Source organism: Homo sapiens, chromosome 1 (assembly GCF_000001405.40).
Source record: "Homo sapiens chromosome 1, GRCh38.p14 Primary Assembly".
NCBI lineage: Eukaryota > Metazoa > Chordata > Mammalia > Primates > Hominidae > Homo > Homo sapiens.
In genome coordinates, this window is record NC_000001.11 from 186,405,485 (window position 1) to 186,418,588 (window position 13,104).

The following is a 13,104-nucleotide window of genomic DNA, read 5'->3' on the forward strand; positions in this document are numbered from 1 at the left end:
TAGGACAGTGGGTCGTATAAGAATGTGTAATCAACAGCTTTACATTGAAGGCAATGATAAGTTTATTTTATTTTTATTTTTATTTTGAGATGGAGTCTCGCTCTGTTGCCCAGGCTGGAGTGCAGTGGTGCGATCTTGGCTCACCGCAACCTCCACCTCCCGGTTCAAGAAATCCTCCTGCCTCAGCCTCCTGAGTAGCTGGGATTACAGGCACCTGCCACCACGCCTGACTAATTTTTGTATTTTTAGTAGAAACGGGGTTTCACCATGTTGGCCACGTTGGTCTCCAACTCCTGACCTCAAGTGATCTGCCCACCTCAGCCTCCCAAAGTGCTGGGATTACAGGCATGAGCCACCGCGCCTGGAGATAAGTTTATTTTTCATAGGAGTATCATTTAGGTTCCTTGCAAAGACCAGGGGTTTTGAGGTAAAGCAGAATTTGGTAAGAGCAATTTTGTGCCAGATCAACCAGAAAATGAAAAAATATTGACCTTTTAAGCTTTATTTCTATTAGTTTTTGTATGTACTTCTAAAATATGTATCACTGATACCAGTGACAAACCTATCTAAATATTGATAATATTTCTTTTCCTTTTAGATTCTGAAAAAGAGTTCCACGTCCTCCCTTATCGAGTCTTTGTTCCCCTTCCTGGATCCACTGTAATGTTGTGTGATTATAAATTTGACGATGAGTCAGCTGAAGAAATCAGGGACCATTTTATGGAGATGTTGGATCACACAATTCAAATAGAAGATTTGGAAATTGCAGAGGAAACAAACACAGGTCATTATATGATGCTATTTAAGAACCTGGTTAGATTACAGCTAAGATTTTACCTATGAGATGTCTAGTTTAAATATCATGTCTTTAGATTTTTTTTAAAGCTAGTTCTGTTTGACACTTCGAAATATTAACTGAGACATTTTAAAATACATGTTTAATTTCTACATGTCTAGACATACAGTGAGTATTTCCTGGGAAATTGTACCAAAATTTAAGATACTAAGGTATTTTTCAAGCTTAGCAAGTAGATCTTAATAAAACAAGTTCAGGATTAAGTAGGTAAAATTACAAAGCTTTAAGGTATTTCTTTCAATATAAAAGTTTTCTCAAAACTCATTATCTTACTTGGTAAAGCATCATGTCAGAACAGAAGGTTTTAAAACACTAATTTATTAAACATTTTCTCCATATTATTTGCCTTTTTTTTTTCATATACCTTTCATGTAATTGGGATACTAAGCCAAAATGGGCAGTTCCAGAAATTAGATGACTTTTATAGAGCATAGATTTGCTTTACTATCCAGGTTTTGTAACACATTTTTTTTTCCCTAGCCATCACTTTCACATTTGACTTTATACTTTGGAAGACTGTTTGGGTTTTTTGCTTTCTTTTTGTTTCTAGTGAGTTCAGTGTATGAAAACATGTCTATAAATAAATATGTAAGTTCCTTTTCTGATTTCTTAGTTATTCTTTGCATAGTTAATTCTCCCTTCAGGAATAGGGTGTTTGATTCAGAGTGTGCTTGAGATTATAGTGAGTCAAGTAAGTATTTGATTGGGGAACTTCAAATCTATAGTAAACTGCCTCAAGTTAGTTGCAAACCACCCTTTAGTTTTTCAGCAATACCAGATCGTGATGTAGAGCAATAAGCTTGTTTCAGTGGGGAAAATAAAATTTCTAAATTGCCCAATGCCTGATGTTAAAATAAAGAAGAGCTACTTTCTAATCCCATGAAAACTAATATTTTTAAAGATACAACTCTAGCATAGTTCCATGAAAACTAATATTTCTAAAGATATAACTGTAGCAGATGGAAAGTATCTGCTTTTTGAAAGTAGACTGGTAAAAATGTTTACTGCTTTCCAAAATTTATTTTCCTTGGTTAGTGACTGCATTATCTCTGCCAACGAAACTTAGGATCATGAGGACAGGGATTTTTGTTTGTTTTGTTCACTTCTCTATCGTTAAGGCCTAGCAATAGTTCTTGAGCCATTCTGTTGTTGAATAGATCTTATAATGTTGGTAGGATCATTCAAATTGACCTAATTTAACCTCTTAATACTGAAAACTACATCCCTAGCAGATGGGGATTCAGATTCTATTCTTCTTTATTCTAAATACCAATCTGCCTCCCTGTAACCTATTCTTTCAGTAATATGCAGCAATAAAACATGAGTACCACTTCCTCACTGAGACCATGCTTTAAATTTGAGAGCAACTATTATGTTCTAAACATTTCAAAGCCATATATTCTCACCTACCTTAAGCTGTTCATTTTATTACAGTTTCCAGACCACATTTTTTTCTTACCACCTTGTTTGCTTTCCGGTAGATTAGGAATTTTTAACCTGTGGGGTTCAAAACCTCTGGTGTCAGAGCTGAACTTTTAGAAGATCCACAAACCACTTGAAAGTAATTGTATGATTTTTTTTCTGAAGAAAAGGTCTATCGCTTTCAAAGAGTTTAAAAATTACTTCTTAAATATACTCTGATTTGCCTTCCTTGAAATATGTTACCCTGACGAAGCTAATGCTCTAAAAATAATATAGCCATTATTTATATATCTGCCAGGCACAGTTTTAAGAGTCTTACAAATACTAAATTATCATTCCTTGTAACAACCCTGTGATGTAAATAACATTATTAATCCTATTTTCCAGATGAGAGAATTAAGGCTCAGAAAGGCCAGGTAACTTTTCAAAGTTACATTGCTCGTAATGGTGGAGCTGGAATTTAAACTTAGGCAGTTTGGTTTTAGGGTCTGTGCTTCTTTTCTAAAAATTTTATTTTACTGCCTTTGTGTAGGAGCTAAATAATGAAGTATAGTATGATTATTTTCCATGATATAGATACATATTTTAGCCTGGCGTTCTTCATTCCATCCCTTTAAACATTTTCAAGTGTAAATGGATGATGTTACATTATCTTGGTTTAATTTCATCTAGATTATGTCAATATAATTTCTCATTTGTTGGCTGGAATCTTGGATCTCATTATTTATGTTTATATAAACATATAAACAATATATAATGTTTATATATAATATAAACATATACATACATAAACATGTAATATAAACAATTTGTGTATGTATGTAAACAAAAATGTTTATATATGTGAACATGTTTATATGTTTATATGAATATGTTTATAAAATATATAATATAAACAATATACAAAAATGTATTGTTTTCTTATAAAAATATAAAATATATCATGTTTATATATAATTTTTTGAATTATTTGTCACATTCTTGTGCATCTCACATTCTTAAACTAAGAATGACTAAGGGTAGCACTGTATGCAAAACTTGCCCCATTCACAAGTTACTTTAAAAGTCAGATATAAAAGAATAGGAAGAGAGAGTCATTTCATCTAGGTTTTTTAAATAATTCTTAAAAATATTTCTGTCTTAAGTATTTTTAACTCATTTAATTTCATGTTGTATGTTAAACACAAGTATATAGACTAGTTTAAGACTGTTTTATTCAGTTCTTTTTAAGTTAATATTTTAACAAACAGTTAGTAACAGAGGTTTATATTCTTTCTTTACATTGCTAAGACATTAAAAAAAATTAACTTGGGCAACATGGTGAAACCCTGTCTCTACAATAAAAATACAAAAATTAGCTGTAGAAGTTTCAATGGGCCGTGTTTACACCACTGCCGTTCAGCCTGGGTGACAGAGTAGGACCCTGTCTCAAAAAAAAAAAAAAAAATTAAGTAGCTTCAACCACTGTAATGTATTCCTAAGAGGTAACTATGGCAACCTGGCATGACAGCCTCCCAAAACCAAAACTAAAACCCAATAAATTCAAATTCTCATGAAACCGTTACATGTGCATTTCAGCAAACATCTGTTGAAAGAGCAAAAAGGGCCTTTGCCTCTCTTGCTTACTGTTGTGTTTCTAGCACTTTACTAAGAGCTTAGCCTTAGCATGTCATAGGTATTCAGTAGATATTTGTTGACTGAATAAATTATTTATTTTGTCCTATGGATTAGAGTCCAAAGAACAACAAAATGCTGATTCTGTCTTCAAGGAGCTAAGTAGATTTTTGTTTGTTTGTTTTTTGAGACGGAGTCTCGCTCTGTCTCCCAAGCTGGATTGCAATGTTGCATTCTCAGCTCACTGCAACCTCTGCCTCCCGGGTTCAAGCGATTCTCCTGCCTCAGCCTCCTGAGTAGCTGGGATTACAGGTGCGTGCCACCAAGCCCAGCTAATTTTTGTATTGTTAATAGAGATGGGGTTTCAGCATGTTGGTCAGGCTGTTCTCTAACTCCTGACCTTGTGATCCGCCTGCCTCAGCCTCCCAAAGTGCTGGGATTACAGGTGTTAGTCACCAAGGCCAGCCAATAGAGTTTTTTAAAAAAATGTCTGTGTAGATACTATGTTTTTACTAACTTCAGACTTGTTCAGACTAGGTAAACTCCTTCACTAAACTTTCTTGTAGTTCCCTCTTCTATGCTGTTCTTCTATAATACTTTACATACTTGTAATTATTTAAATCATCAATTGCATATTTAATGTTGATCTTTCACATTAGACTATAAGATTTTTGAGAGTAAGTAGAGTATTTATCTGTACCTAAAACATGGTAGGTGTTCCTAATTATTTGTTACTGATTCATAAATACTGAATAAGTGATTCTTAGGAAACTACAGCACTTCTTGTTTTCACATTTATTTCATACTTGAGAAATTATTAGCTTATGCCTGTACAGACAAGGTTTTTAAGATTTGTGTAGTATAGTATATTGAACATGTTGAGGGTTTAAAAAGTCTATAATATTCATAGCTGTATGGCTCAGTAGTTCAGAACATTTTCAGGAGTTTTGAACATTTAAGACATGAAATTATGTCTTTTATATGAAAATATGTAGCACTAGTTGTTGCCCCAGAAATTTTAATCTAGTTTACAGCATTTAGTATGTCTCTTTATCAGATGTTTATTAAGCTTATGCTCTGTTCAAGACAATATAATAGATATGAATCAATAACTTGATTCCTTTCCTTTAGAAGCCTAGAGGAAAGATAGAATGTATATGCGTGATTAGTTATGCAGAGAATGTAGTAAGGTCCTAAGAGTACCTAAGAACTCCATCAAGATTAGTGATCAGAATTTTAGGGTCTCCAGTGATTTGGTTAATAATTTAATCAGAAAAAAGTCTCTATTATAGGCATTAGCAGTAATCTATAATATACAGTAACGAAGTTTTGGCATTCCTGTATTAAAATTTTAGTGGGCTGGGTGCGGTGGCTCACGCCTGTAGTCCCAGCACTTTGGGAGGCCAAGGCGGGTGGATCACCTGAGGTCGGGAGTTCAAGACCAGCCTGACCAACATGGAGAAACCCCGTCTCTACTAAAAATACAAAGTTAGCCAGGCGTGGTGAGGCATGCCTGTAAACCCAGCTACTCAGGAGGTGGAGGCAGGTGAATCACTTGAACCCGGAAGGCGGAGGTTGTGGTGAGCCAAGATCGTGCCATTGCACTCCAGCCTGGGCAACAAGAGCAAAACTCTGTCTCAAAAAAAAAAAAAGAGTTAGTAAATTATTTCCCTTTTTTTATTCTTTATTATAATGTTGAGTATCCCTAATCTGAAAATCTAAAATCTGAAATGCTCCAAAATTTGAACCTTTTTGAGCACCGATATGATGCTCAAAGGAAATGTTCATTAGAGCATTTCAGATTTTGGATTCTTGGGTTAGGAATGCTAAGCTGGTGTACTGCAAGTATTTCAGAATTTAAAAAAATCTGAAATCTGAAACACTTACGATCCCAAGCATTTTGGATGAGGAATACTCAACCTGTACTACTTCTATGTTTCACTTCAACTGAAAGGTCACTGAAAGCACACACCAGTTTTATAAATTGATGCTCTGTAATATACAGTGTATGATCCTACTTGTATTGAAAGTTTCATAGTTTTGAATGATGTTTGCTTTTGCAAATAAATAAAAGTTTTAATTTTAGCCTCAAAACAATATACTTTATCCATTATTGTCAGATATAAATGCTATTCTCTAATGAATTGTTTTTATTTATATATATAGTAAATATATTTTAATCCTCTTTCTTGGGTTCCCTCAGTAAGCTTTATCATTAGCATTATTTGTACCTTGTGAAATATTAGCATGAACCAGTAAATATGAAATACCTTAAAATAACGTAAAAATCTTAGATAATATATAAATATTAATACATATGTCTGATTTGTGGATTTTAACTTTCATAAACTTTTAATATTAAAACTTAGTTATATGTTTCACACTGTATTTAAAAATTATTTACTGTCTATATTTCTCTTTTTTATGCTGACAGTCTAGTATAGAGATGGATTAACAGTAGGAAGAGTTTAATATTACAAGAACAAAGGAAGCAAAACAGCAATTTGGAAAGTTTAGGTGTGTATACTTACATGTATGCCATATTAAACTCATGGTTTCTAGATGATATTACACATTTTTCTAATATTGTATAATGTATTGAAGATACTTCAGTATGGTAGGTATGATCCTTTCAGGACTCTGCCCTGTTTTTGAAACTTACATGGATCTCAAGTGAGTGACTGAGTGAGTGAGTGATGTCTGTTCTTGGCTGCCTATTATGTATTAGGATTCTACAGATAAAATATGTAGTCCTGACTCTCAAGAAGCCCACAGTGCAATGGGAAATACAAAGAAATGAGTTATTTCAAAACAAGGTGGCCCATGTGCTGTAATATGCTGATCCCTGGTTTTATTATTAATATCTAATTATTTGAAATTATTAATTGCTGAAACCACTAATAATTCTATAACAAGAATGAACAGAGAAGAGTCAGAACTCTTAGCAGAGGCACTGTCTCTGTAAGGGATTCAGGGAAAGCTTAGAGCAGGTGACATTTGAGTTCGTTTTGAAGGATGAATACAAATAAAAGTAGCTTTTTAGGAATTGAACACTGGTATGAGATGTATTACAACCAAGAATATGACTTACCTAGAAGTATAAGTTTCATCAAGCATTTGTTAAATTGGAAGGAATGATATAGTAATTCTGCATATTTATTATAAAGAACACATTCCCAAATAATAGAATAAAAACATACATTTTAATAGAAAAATTAAGTGCTTTTACATAAACATCCTATTTTTTTTAGAATTATATGCGCTTATTCACTCATTTACTCATTTATTCATTTACTCAAAGATAGTAGATGCCATAATTTTACAAAGATAATGTCCAGGAGTCCAGGCCTGCCACTTAAAACTAACCTTAAAGAAGTCCCCTCTGAGTCCTAGATTCTCTTGGGGTTGATGTGAGAATTTGGTAAAACTGTTAGGGAAAATGCTTTCTAAACAGAAAGAGATATATAAATGGAGGATGATATTAACACATTATTAGGCTTTTAAATACTGAACCTCTGACTTGTAATGAAAAATATTAATGTTAAAGTATGAAAATGTCTTATAATATGTATAAGTTTTCCTAAATATTTGAAATTAGAGTTTCCATATAAAATAAACCATAAGAAAGTGGAGCTCAAATGTTCAAATTCAAAAATTGGAATCAATTACTACGCATTTAGGAACATTAAATTTGCTATAAACATATTGCTTTGTCTTCTAAGTATTTAACATTAGAGGTTGAATATCCCTAATCTGAAAGTCTGAAATACAAAATGCTCCAAAATTAGAAACTTTTTGAGCACCAACATGATGCTCAAAGGAAATATACTCATTAGAACATTTTGGGTTTTGGATTTCAGATTAGGGATGCTCAACAAGTAAGTATAATGCAAATAATCCAAAATTTGAAAAAAAAAATCATTTCAGGTAAAGGATGCTCAACTTGTATGATTTACCTGATTATTACTTATTTCTGTTCTATAGTATAGTTGCCCAAGTAGTTGCTATGTTTAAAATACATATTTGCCAAGTAAGTATCTTAAAATAACATACTTTTAAATGACTTAAGAGATGAAGAACAATTTGTTTGTCAAAATGACTCGCTTGAGGTGAGGGATAACTATGGCTTTAAAATTTCTTAGCTGTGTTAGTCATCTCCTAGTAGATGTTAACTTGATAATTTCAATGTACTTTTATCAACAGTACCATCTAAAAAAATTTGAAGTCATACCTTTAAAATCTGGTGAACCTCATCTTTGCCAATATCAGAGCTGAGATTAATTTTTGTCATTTGGTTAAACATTGACAATTATAAAGGAAAAATGAGTAATACTGAAGATATAATTTTATGGCTACATCGCTGACTATAATGATACAGTAATTTAGGAATTAGGGATAGGAAGAACACAGGCTACTAAGGAGTTCAAGTCTTAACATTTCATTTTAAGCTTCTAAATAGTTCTGCCTACCTATCAGCAGCTTGGAATGAAATCTGAACACGTCTGCAACTTTTGCATGCATTCACAGCCCTTGTTTTCTCTCTCTTTTTGACAGCTGCTCAAGAATACTCTTAACATGATCAGTTTTCGATTTGTCTGAATTTGAAATGACTTGGTTTTAAGGAATGGTTGAGATCTAGTGTTCTATTGAATCACTGTGTTATTTGCATTTAAATTTCTTGTAATATATTAAAATATTGGTGAAATAACACAGTGCCTGAGATTTGGTTTAAAAATCCTACAAGCCCCCACCAAAAATAAACAGACAAATAAATTGCTGTGATAAGGCCTTATTCATTATTGAAAAACATTCTGCTTCGGTAAAATTATCTCAAATTTGTATCAAACCTCATGATTTTGTATGACAGATTTAAAAATGGAAATAGGGCAATGAAATGTCTTTTATGAAAGTAAATTATTTGCTCAGAGTACGATCTTCTAGAGCATGATCTTCATATGTAATAATTCAATATTAAATATATAAGTAATATATTATGACAACTAAAACAATTTTGTTTTTTTATATGCAAGTATTCAAGTAATAAATTTCCTATAGCAAACAGGTATAATTCATACCATCCATTATTTTTGTTTGTTATCTGATATAAGGATTTTATTGGCCCAAATATGGGGGAAAAAAACAAAAACCTTTTTTTTTTTTTTTGAGACAGTCTTGCTCTGTTGCCCAGGCTGGAGTGCACTGGCACTATCTTGGCTCACTGCAAGCTCTGCCTCCTGGGTTCACGCCATTCTCCTGCGTCAGCCTCCTGAGTAGCTGGGACTACAGGTGCCTGCCACCATACCTGGCTAATTTTTTTGTATTTTTAGTAGAGACGGGGTTTCACCATGTTAGCCAGGATGATCTCGATCTCCTGACCTCGTGACCTGCCCGCCTCGGCCTCCCAAAGTGCTGGGATTACAAGCGTGAGCCACTACGTCCGGCCAAAAAATACCTTTTTAACAGAGATATTTGCTCATAGAAGAGCCGAAGTTTGTTTTTGTTTTTATTTGATGTAAAATTGTATGAGCCATTCAATTTTTAGACCTATGGACTGAAGTTGGAAGAAATTTTAAATTACTGAGCTAATATAGTCTAGAACTGAAGTATTATAGCCCTTGAGAAAACTACAAACTGGAAATATAGAAGACTAGATATTCCTAGAGACAGTTCATAAGAATTTGTTTTTCTTTGTGACTGGTTTGATATGAGAATAGAAAAAAAAAGGGGGGAGGGTTTTTTTGTTTTTTGTTTTTAAAGTATTTTAGTTAAATGCTAGAAGAAGAAAAAGAAAAAAGAATAGTGGTGCCCTTATTTCTAATAAGATAGTTACTAGGAATTGTTTATGAAAATCATAAACTTTTCTTTGTGAGAAATTAATGAGAAGTAGGTAATTTTTTTTCTTTTTCATCCATTTTAGTATCATATATACCTATTTCAGTAAGTTTATATGTCATTCTTTTGAGCTTGTGCTCCCATATTGGGGTGCAAAGATGTCTATAAGAACATTGTAAATTCAACAATAGGCTATTTTACTTTAAATTTAAACAGTAATATTTACTATCTCTCTTGAGTTCTCTCTCTCTTTTTTGTGGGGGTGAGGGTAAATAAACAGATAAATCTAAAGTAGTTGCTTTCATAATCTAGTTCCCTGGAGTTCTATAGAGTAGCATTCTAATGTCACCTCTAGGATGGAAGAAAGAAGCTGGTCTGACTCCAGGAGTCCTCCCTCCCAGCTTCAGCCTGGGTAGCATACTTTCATCTTTTTTACACACTGGGAATTTCTGTCAGATTTTCTTTGTTTTCATAGGATTCTTCAGTCCTAGGGGAAAAAAACAGAAAACTATTAGCCTGTGTGGTCTCTGAGGATGCTATCAGTTCACACACTTTCATTCAGCATTAAATAAATTCGGATAGGCCAACCTGCATAAATTGCTGTCAGCATAATGAAGTAGAAAGAGAACTTGTGTCCAAATCATCAGTCAAATGCCTGTGATGGTCGAAATGCACTTTAACCTCCCAGGTTATGTTTTCCATTTGTAAAATGCGATGATGTCCTTGCCTTGCTTACCATTCTGAGTTGTTTCAAGGTCAAATTTTTGATCATAGTTTCAATTTCAAGTTGGATCCAGAGTCAGCAAACTTTTTTTTGTACAAATAAATATTTTAGGCTTTGTGAGCCGCATAAGGTCTTTTTCACATTTTTTTTTTACAGTCTTTTAAAAATATGAAAAACAGATTTTTAGTTTAAGAGCTTTTACAAAAATAGGTCATGAGCCAGAGGCCCATGTACTGCAACGTGCTGGTCAGTGGTTTTATTATTAATATCTAATTATTTGAAATTATTAATTGCTAAAACCACCAATAATGATATAAATTAGACTGGGCATGGTGGCTCACACCTGTAATCCCAGCACTTTGGGAGGCCGAGACAGGCAGATCACTTATAGTCAGGAGTCCGAGACCAGCCTGGCCAACATGGTGAAATCCCATCTCAACTAAAAATACAAAAATTAGGCCAGGTGTGATGGCTCATGGCTATAATCCCAGCACTTTGGGAGGCCAAGGTGGGCAGATTACCTGATGTCAGGAGTTGGGGACCAGCCTGGCCAACATGGCAAAACCCCATCTTTACTAAAAATACAAAAGTTAGTCGGGCATAGTGGTGCACCCCTGTAGTCCCAGCTACTCGGGAGGCTGAGGCAGGAGAATTGCTTGAACCTGGAAGGTGGAGGTTGCAGTGAGCTGAGACCACGCCATTGCACTCCAGCCTAGGCAACAGAGCAAGACTCTGTCTCAAATAAATAAATTAAATTAAATTTAAATGCAAAAATTAGCCAGGTGTGGTGGCAGGCGGCTGTAATCCCAGCTACTCAGGAGGTTGAGGCAGGAGAATCACTTGAACCTGGGAGGCAGAGGTTGCAGTGAGCTGAGATCATGCCACCGCACTCCAGCCTGGGTGACAGAGTAGGATTCTGTCTCAAAAAAAAAAAAAAAAAAAAAGTAAATTAATCTCAAGAGCGAAGTTTACTCTGCTATGAATTTTGGTATAAATTTATCTCTACTACTATATAGTAAACAAATTATTATTATTGTTACTTTTTTTTGAGACAGAGTCTCGCTCTTTCACCCAGGCTGGAGTGCAGTGGTGCAATCTCGGCTCACTGTAACCTCCGTCTCCCGGGTTCAAGCAGTTCTCCTGCCTCAGCCTCCCAAGTAGCTGGGACTACAGGTGCACACCACCATGCCCGTCTAATTTTTTGTATTTTAGTAGAGACGGGGTTTCACTGTGTTGCCCAGGCTGGTCTTGAACTCCTGAGCTCAGGCACTCTGCCTGCCTCAGCCTCCCAAAGTGCTGGGATTACAGGCGTCAGCCACCATGCCTGGCCAACAAATCACAATTTTTGAAAGTCATTCAGAACTGGCTGTGTGGCCCTCTGGTTTAGTTCAATGATAAAGCTACATTGTTTTGAAAACTGTTAATTTGACGTATATTCTATTAAATTTAATTCACCTACAATTGATAATGAACAAATTCAGTATGTTATATAAAAAACAAGTAGAAAGAAAATGGTGATGATCGTATAGTTTTTTATAATGTTCTTTAAAGCTCAGTTTCATGTGTTAATCCTTATTTTATGTGGAATTTATTATTATTATACCCTTTCAGCTTGTATGAGTTCTTCTATGAATAGTCAAGCTTCATTGGACAACACAGATGATGAACAACCAAAACAACCAATTAAAACTACAATGTTATTGAAAATTCAGCAAAACATAGGTATTTAATTTTACTTCTTTTATAACACTGAAAACATATTTAGATTTGAGTTTTCTTGTTACTTTAAGATCTTTGTATTTCATTTCTCTTTCTTAAGATTGCTAGACTTAACAGTATTTATTGGGTATTATGGAAAGTACCAGGCCCTAGAGATAGGAAGATTTATAATTCATACATTGTCATCTAAGTGCCCTCAAAGATGACACATCCTATTAATTTTTAAAACGTTCTTAAAAGAAAAAGCTGCAGAGTTTTGGGAATCAGTTAATATAGTAGGGCTAATGTTTTACAAACGGGTGTTCTTAGAATTACTATTGCAGGAGATTTTGATAGGTGTTCTATGACAAACAACGTTAAATTCAAGTCAGGAATTTTATAATGTATTTTTATATTTTAAAGGCTCTAAGAATTACTTTAACAGTTTTCAGAATTTTTGAACAAGGAACATGCAGACTATTGTTTAGTGGAGTAACAATTTGAGAAATACTAAGTTTTAAGACTTCTGACTGAGAGTTAGGAGCCAGAAGATTTAATTGTAGTTCTTGTCATTCATTAGATAAATTTAATTAATTTTTTTGTACATGTGTGTGTGTCTGTCTGTCTGTCTGGACTACTATGGTCATTTTCTTTCTTTCTTTTTTTTTTTTTTTTTTTGAGACGGAGTCTCGCTCTGTCGCCCAGGCTGGAGTGCAGTGGCGCAATCTCGGCTCACTGCAAGCTCCGCTTCCCGGGTTCACGCCATTCTCCTGCCTCAGCCTCCCGAGTAGCTGGGACTACAGGCGCCCGCCACCGCGCCCGGCTAATTTTTTGTATTTTTAGTAGAGATGGGGATTTTCTTTCTTTAGCTTACTATAATCAGGAAAAAATAAAAGTTACAACTTAGATGTACTAATTATTAGATTTTATAATGGTCGAACATGGACTTCTGCAGTTT

The 13,104-nt window shown here is 34.3% G+C and overlaps 1 protein-coding gene across 9 annotated transcripts in view; it reads left to right on the top strand.

Moving 5' to 3' along the window:
* ODR4 (odr-4 GPCR localization factor homolog) overlaps nt 1–13,104 on the top strand; it is a 59,194-nt gene that overhangs the window by 29,647 nt on the left and 16,443 nt on the right. For 6 of the 9 annotated variants that reach the window (XR_007061319.1, XM_047423438.1, NM_017847.6 and 3 more), the window contains 2 exons: nt 599–784; nt 12,060–12,170. Coding sequence is in view for 7 of the 9 variants with exons in the window: in XM_047423438.1 (XP_047279394.1) it covers nt 599–784; nt 12,060–12,170 (297 nt within the window). In the remaining 2 variants the exon portion in view is untranslated. Of the gene's footprint in view, nt 1–598; nt 785–6,326; nt 6,410–12,059; nt 12,171–13,104 lie in introns of those variants that run through there. The other 3 variants (XM_047423439.1, XM_047423440.1, XR_007061320.1) reach the window with 2 other exon arrangements.